Source organism: Homo sapiens, chromosome 18, assembly GCF_000001405.40.
Source record: "Homo sapiens chromosome 18, GRCh38.p14 Primary Assembly".
NCBI lineage: Eukaryota > Metazoa > Chordata > Mammalia > Primates > Hominidae > Homo > Homo sapiens.
The window spans coordinates 29497817-29504712 of NC_000018.10; the positions used below are offsets into that span (position 1 = coordinate 29497817).

The following is a 6896-nucleotide window of genomic DNA, read 5'->3' on the forward strand; positions in this document are numbered from 1 at the left end:
CCCGGTTTTTTCAGCTCTACCTTTGTCTATGTTTCAAAGGCTGGTTGCATTTGCACTGTGCTCACTATGTTAAATTGCATATGCTCTACCCGTAGTTTGAGTCTAAAAGTTGAAACCAATGAACATCATTGTATTTTTATGAACATATAAACTACTCTTTAAATAAAGGCACCTAGTTTTATAGAACATTTTCCTTACAGGTCAAATATTAAGATTTCTATTCTATTTCAGGGTTCCTTTGAACCTACGGATTTACATTTTTTAAATGGCATGTATGTATGTTACCTTTTAGTTTTTAGTTAATTTCATTTTTTTTTTTTTTTTTTTTTTTTTGAGACGGAGTCTCACTCTGTCGCCCAGGCTGGAGTGCAGTGGCGCGATCTCAGCTCACTGCAAGCTCTGCCTCCCGGGTTCATGCCGTTCTCCTGCCTCAGCCTCCCAAGTAGCTGGGACTACAGGCGTCCGCCACCACGCCTGGCTAATTTTTTGTATTTTTAGTAGAGACAGGGTTTCACTGTGTTAGCCAGGGTGGTCTGGATCTCCTGACCTTGTGATCTGCCAGCCTTGGCCTCCCATTAACTTCATATTTTAATCATGGCATTATTAAACGTTGTTTTGTTTTGAACTTTGAAAATTTTGAATTTTAAATTATTTCTCCCTTCCTTTCTTCCTTTCTTCTTTCCTTTTTCTTTTCTTTTCTTCTTGTGGTCACTGAAAAAATAAATGTATGTCTTCTTTACTATATTCTTAATATACTGCCAATTTTTAGCTATTTCTACGTGTTGCAGTAAAATCCCTCCATTTTTTTGTTCATGCAGAAGTTTTTGGAGCTGATTGTCTGGTCACACTGGGATCAATTGATGCCTCATTAATATTTCTTTTCATTGACCTCCTGGTTTACTTCTACCACTTCTTATATCCTACATCTTCCTGTTTGTTGCTTTCCATATACTTTTTTTTTTTTTGAGGTGGGGTCTCACTCTGTTGCCCAGGCTGGAGTGCAGGGGTGCAATCTCGGCTCACTGCAACCTCCACCTCCCAGGCTGAAGCAATCCTCCTGCCTCAGCCTCCTGACTAGATGGGATTACAGGTGCCCGTCACCACCAAAAAAAATTAGCCTGGCTATTTTTTTTTTGTATGTTTGGTAGAGACAGGATTTCACTAAGTTGCCCAGGCTAGGCTTGAACTTCTGAGCTGAGGCGATCCACCCACCTCAGTCTCCCAAAGTACTGGAATTACAGGCATGAGCCACTGCATCAGGCCTTCATTTACTTCTTTATTAAAATAGAGCATCAGGTAATTTTCTCAGAAAGAGTCTGGAGATTCACGCTTTCTTAATTATAGTACAATGGAAATCTTCTTATTTTCTTATAATTTAAGTATGTGTAGAATTCTTTTTCAAAATAAGTTTTCCTTCAGATATGAAGGCATTGACTTATTGAATCCTTTATCTTTTGTTGCCAATGAAAAGATTGATGCTACCTTGGTTTTTTCTTTTGTTTATTTGGTTTTGTATTTTTTTCAGATATATGTTCAATCTTCTCATTGTTCTTCACTTTCTAATAAAATTTCACCTATCATTTATTTTATAATAATTTTCGCCATTTTCTGACGTTCTCTCCCCAAAGCTCATTTTAGTTAGATATTGGATTTCTAACAATAGACCCTTTGTTTTTTAATATTCTATTTTTATCTCTATCTCCATTTTATCGCTATCAAAATTTTGTGTTTTGTCATTATTCTAAGCAGATTAAACACCTTTCGCTGCTTCATGGATCCCAATCCTATGTGTATCTTCCCATGCACTGTTTCACTTTATACCTTTAGTTGCTTTTTTCTTTGGATAGTGAAAATTATAATGTACACACCTTGCTGATTTGCAGTCAGTAGTCACATTATAGCACTAATAATATTGGTTTATAGCAATGCCCACTCTGATTGGTGATGCTATTGATGGGGTTTCGTCATGTTGGCCAGGCTGGTTTCAAACTCCTGGCCTCAGGTGTTTTATTTTATTAGTCTGTCCCAGTGCCACTTTGTTTGTTAAATATTTTCAATATTTCCCATTCATAAACACATGATAGTACTTGAAAAATATAGAATAGTGCAACAAACCAAAACTAGAAAATAAAAATTACTTTTACCAAAATAGATTCATTAACAATAACATGTGTATATTCTTCTAACATTAGTATCTATTTGCTTGCAAAATAAAGACTAAATTACAATTGACCCTTGAACAATGTGGGGGTTTCACAGTTGAAAATCTGCACATGATTTTTGACTTCCCCAAAACTTGACTGCTAATAGACTACAGTTGACCAAAGCCTTACCAATAACATAAACAGTCGATTAATACATATTTTGCATGTTATATGTATTATGTACTGTATTCTTATAATAAAGTAAGTCAGAGAAAAGAAAATGTTATTACAAAAACCATAAGGGAGATAATATATATTTACTATTCATTAAGTGGAAGCAGATACTCATAAAGGTTTTTATCTTTGTTGTCTTATCATTGAGTGGGCTGAGGAGAAGGAGGAAAAGGAGGGTTTGATTTTACTGTTTCCCGGGAGAAAGAGGCAAAAGAGGTAGAGGAAATGGAAGGGGGAGCAGGAGAGACAGGCACACCCAGTGTGACTTTTATATTTAAAAGTCTGTGTATAAGTGGACTATCACAGTTCAAAACAGTGTTGTTCAAGAGTCAACTGTGTTACTAAGATATATACCTAATTTTTATTTTATCATTTATGACCACCATTTTCTATAATTGTAAATATTCTTCAGTGGGATATTTAGTGGATGAATAGTAAGTTATCTTTCTGAAAATATAATCATTTATTTATCTAAACTTATCTTTGAGGCATGAAAATCTCCGTAATTTTTTAGAAAAACTTTCTTTTTTACCCAAAGCAAAAAAAAAAAAAAAAAAAAAAAAAAAAAAACGGGAATGTTGGCATGCGGTGTCAAATTACTGTGAAGAAAAGTACATCATTTAAATTTCCCACCAACTTTTTTCTTATATTGCTGTTTCTCCCTCTCTTGCTAGTCATAGAAATTTAAATGTCTTCTATAATTCTGCAAAGTTCAAGCCTAAAGTTGGGCCTAATTTTCTTTTGTATTCCTTTGATTGCTAACCAGGGCACATATTTTCTAACATAACGGTATGTGCAAAAGTTAATAATGTTTTCATTTTAAGTAGAATGAATCTCAATTGGTTTTATGCTTACAAAGATGTTTCCCATAGCAAAACCTAAAATATATTTTTCTATAACTTCTGCTTATTTAAAATATTAATTTATTTAAAATTAATTTTGATATGTTCTTTTTTATTATTTTATTTTTTAATTAATAGAGATGAGGTCTCACTATGTTACCCAGGCTGGTTTCAAACTCCTGAGCTCCAGCGACCCTCCCACCTTGGCCTCCTAAATTGCTGGGATTACAGGCTCGACCTACCATGCCCAGCCTAATTTTGATATGTCTTATCATGTAAAAATATGGCTTATATTTTTTGAAAAGACACTTAAAATTGTGCTTGGACAAATTATTCAACATTATAGGATAATTCTTTCTTCCTCCACTCATCTAAAACCAATGTTAATTATATATGAATTTCTTACATTTGGGACAATCTACTTGTGGGCTTTCTTTTTATACCCCTGAGCAATCTGCCTACCTTTGTAAGAGGGCTAAATCCATTTTAGGACTGTAGTATTTTACTGCATTGTATAATTTATGGAGTCAGGTTTACTGAATTTTTTTTATAAAAAATCTTTGTAATTTTTTCATGAGTTGTTCTCAGGTGAAATGCAGACTAAGTTACCATTCCAAAAAAGATGTATGAATAAATAAAACCCTTGTACGAATTTGAAATTTCAATAAAACCCTTAAAATATTTGTTGACTATAGCATAGTTTTTAAGAGCACAATCATTACAATCAAAGAGACCTAGGCTTAAAGTATAGTTCCTCTGGTTACTAAGTATGGAATAATCAGAAGTAGACTGTATAGTGTTTTCCAGGTTTGATATTTTTCAGACTCAAAGGAGGATAATAATATAGGCCTCACAGGGATGTTGTGAATTTTAAAGAGATAATTATTTTAAGTGCTTACCTGAGTGAGAACCTGGCACTAAGTAATCATTGAATACACGGTTGCAGTATTAATCTAATTTTGTCATAATACTGACTTGGGCGTGACATGGACTGATTTACTGATCACCCTTAGACACTTTCTGGTTGATAATATAAGATGATTTCATCTCTGAAGTATTTCAAAAGTTAAAACCACAAACTCAGCCTTCTTTGTCAGAGCAAGAAGATTTCTTAATCCAGGAAAACTAATATGATATAATATGAACGTCATCATTACATGTAATGATGACTAAGCCTGTTAGTAAAATGTCTGGCTTTGCCTTATGTTATGTTAATGACCTCCCATGAATCATGCCTCCCTAGTTCCATGCCCTTTTGCATCTTGACTTTGTCATTGTTCTCATCAAAAAGTGAAGTTTATTTATTATCCTCCCTTGACTCTATGCTTTACCCATAACTTGCTTTGATAAATAGAATGGAGTAAAATGATATACAAAGTCTACAATCTAAGATTGAAGAAGCCATATAATTTCCTCTCCCACCCTCTGAGAACACCATGTTGTGAAAGCCCACTCTAGCTTACTGGAGGTGAGAAGCCACCAGGAACAGAACCAAGGTGCTCAGCTGACATCTTACACCAACTGGAAGCAAAGTGCCTGAGGCCACGCTGAATCCCTCAGTCCTGGTGGAAGAATGCAGCCATATAAGTGACACGAGAAAGATTAGCAAAGAACTGCCTATATTGTGGAACACAGAATCTTAAAAAATAACAAGTCACTTAGTTTTGGGGTCATGCCTTTCACAGTCGTAGAAAATCACAACAAAATAAAGCAATCATGCTGTGCATGCTGAATGCTCTGTCTCTCTAATCAGTCATTCTGCACATAGACCACCTTTTCTGAGGGTGCAATCTGAATATAAAGTAGATAGAGTTTCCTGTCTTGACAACATAGACTGAAGACGAAAACTTCTCAAAGCTTAATTCCAAATTAATTTCTTCCAAGTTCATTTTATGTAGGTCCAACCAGTAATTTAAAATGTTTAATCTTATAGACATCTGGGTAAATATAGTTAAAACTCTATATTCTATCTTCTCTGTAATCTTACTACAAATAAAATGTAGTAAGATACTAAAAGAAAACTCTATTTACCATATACTTGGAAACAAACCAAATTTCAAGCAATAATTTTTGCAAAATTGCTCTCAAATGCAGTGACACATGAAAAAATATGGAGAATGTGACAATGGCGACCACACTTTGTCACAGGTTTTAAACAACATCCAAGCCAAATCTATGTGCAAAAAAGTAAATTTTAAAGAAGTGAAAGTTAATATAATAAATAATTTTTCCATCTCAGCATGAAAAAGTCCATTCCTAAGCATAAAGACAACAGAAAACTATTATGTTAGCACTTGTCACTTGATTTCAAAAACTTCTAATACAAATATAGCAAAAAGAAAACTATGAAAATTAAAAGGCAAATGATAAATTGGGAAATATGTATAATGTTTGTGACATATGGATGTGCACAGAAGTTTACAAATAAATATATATTATTAAAATAAAAAGTCAAGAAAACTAATGATCACCACAGGAAAGAGAAAATATAAATATCTAATAAAAACTTTATCAAATTTGTGACCATGTTAGTTAAGTAAATAAGTAAAAATAAATAAATAAAACAAGAAAGAAACATATTAACTCTGCGTTTGATAAAAAATGGTGGAGAGTTAGAGAAGATGGTGATGAATGTGATCCCCCAGGTGCATCATCCTCTTTTTGATAAAGCAATCTCTGGCATCTAAAATAGGATGTAAAATGGTGTAGCAGCTCAGGAAAACAGTATGGTGGCGAGATGGAGATCCTGAGGGTGACAGTTACATTAAGTGGGTACTGATCCAGGTCAGGGAAGAGATATGGATATTATCATAACATGAACAGTTTATAGTCCACATGGCTTCATGCAAAGTCTCCTGATCACTTGGGAGTAAAAACTCCAGATGGCTGAGAGCACAATGTGAACACTAAGTCACCTGGGAGCAACTATCCTAGGATACTATATCTAAATCCAAGTTCTTACTTCTTTTGTCCAATGTCTAAACACCTCCACTTTTTATTTCTTATTAAATGGTCAGTGTATAAAATGAACCTTAAAAAGGAGACAATGATTATTAGAAATGAACCAGTGTAAGGCCAATATATAGACACTCAACTTATTTTTTAATGAGAAAGGGCAATTGTATATACAGACAAACACATACATATGTGTCGCTATATATGTACACATACACACGTTGTGAATGCAAAGAAACTCGTATTCTGATAAATGAAATATTTTAAAAATGTAAGATAAGAGGAAACTAAGAAGGATCTGACAAATCCTCAAAAATGGAATAAAAAATAAAATATTTTAAGTACCAGAAAGAATAATAATAAATACTGTAAAAAGAACACATAGAAATGGCAAACAGGTATGTTAAAGGATGCTCAGTATCATTGTCAAGGAAATGCAAATCAAAAGTACAATGAGATTATCACTTCCCAACTCTTAGTATGGCTGATAAACAAAAAAGCACAAAATATATTGACAAAGATGTGGGGGAAATTAGAATTTTTGTACACTATTGAAAATATAAACAGTGCAGCAGCTTAGGAAAACAGTATGGGGTTCCTCAGAAAATGAAAATTAGAACCACCATCTTGTCTATTTATCATTTTTATGGCTATACATTCAAAAGAATTGATATCAGTCTTGAATTGATGTCTTGAAGCGATATTTCCACTCTCATATTCA

General features: G+C 33.7%; 1 annotated feature.

Annotated features, from left to right (window-relative positions):
* Positions 4093-5292: an enhancer, noted in NCBI's record as "BRD4-independent group 4 enhancer chr18:27081874-27083073 (GRCh37/hg19 assembly coordinates)". NCBI's record gives its function as "activates an origin of replication core promoter dependent on BRD2, P300/CBP, MED14 and CDK7 cofactors, and independent of BRD4, by STARR-seq in HCT116 cells {active_cell/tissue: HCT116}" and the evidence as "EXISTENCE:reporter gene assay evidence [ECO:0000049][PMID:35650434]".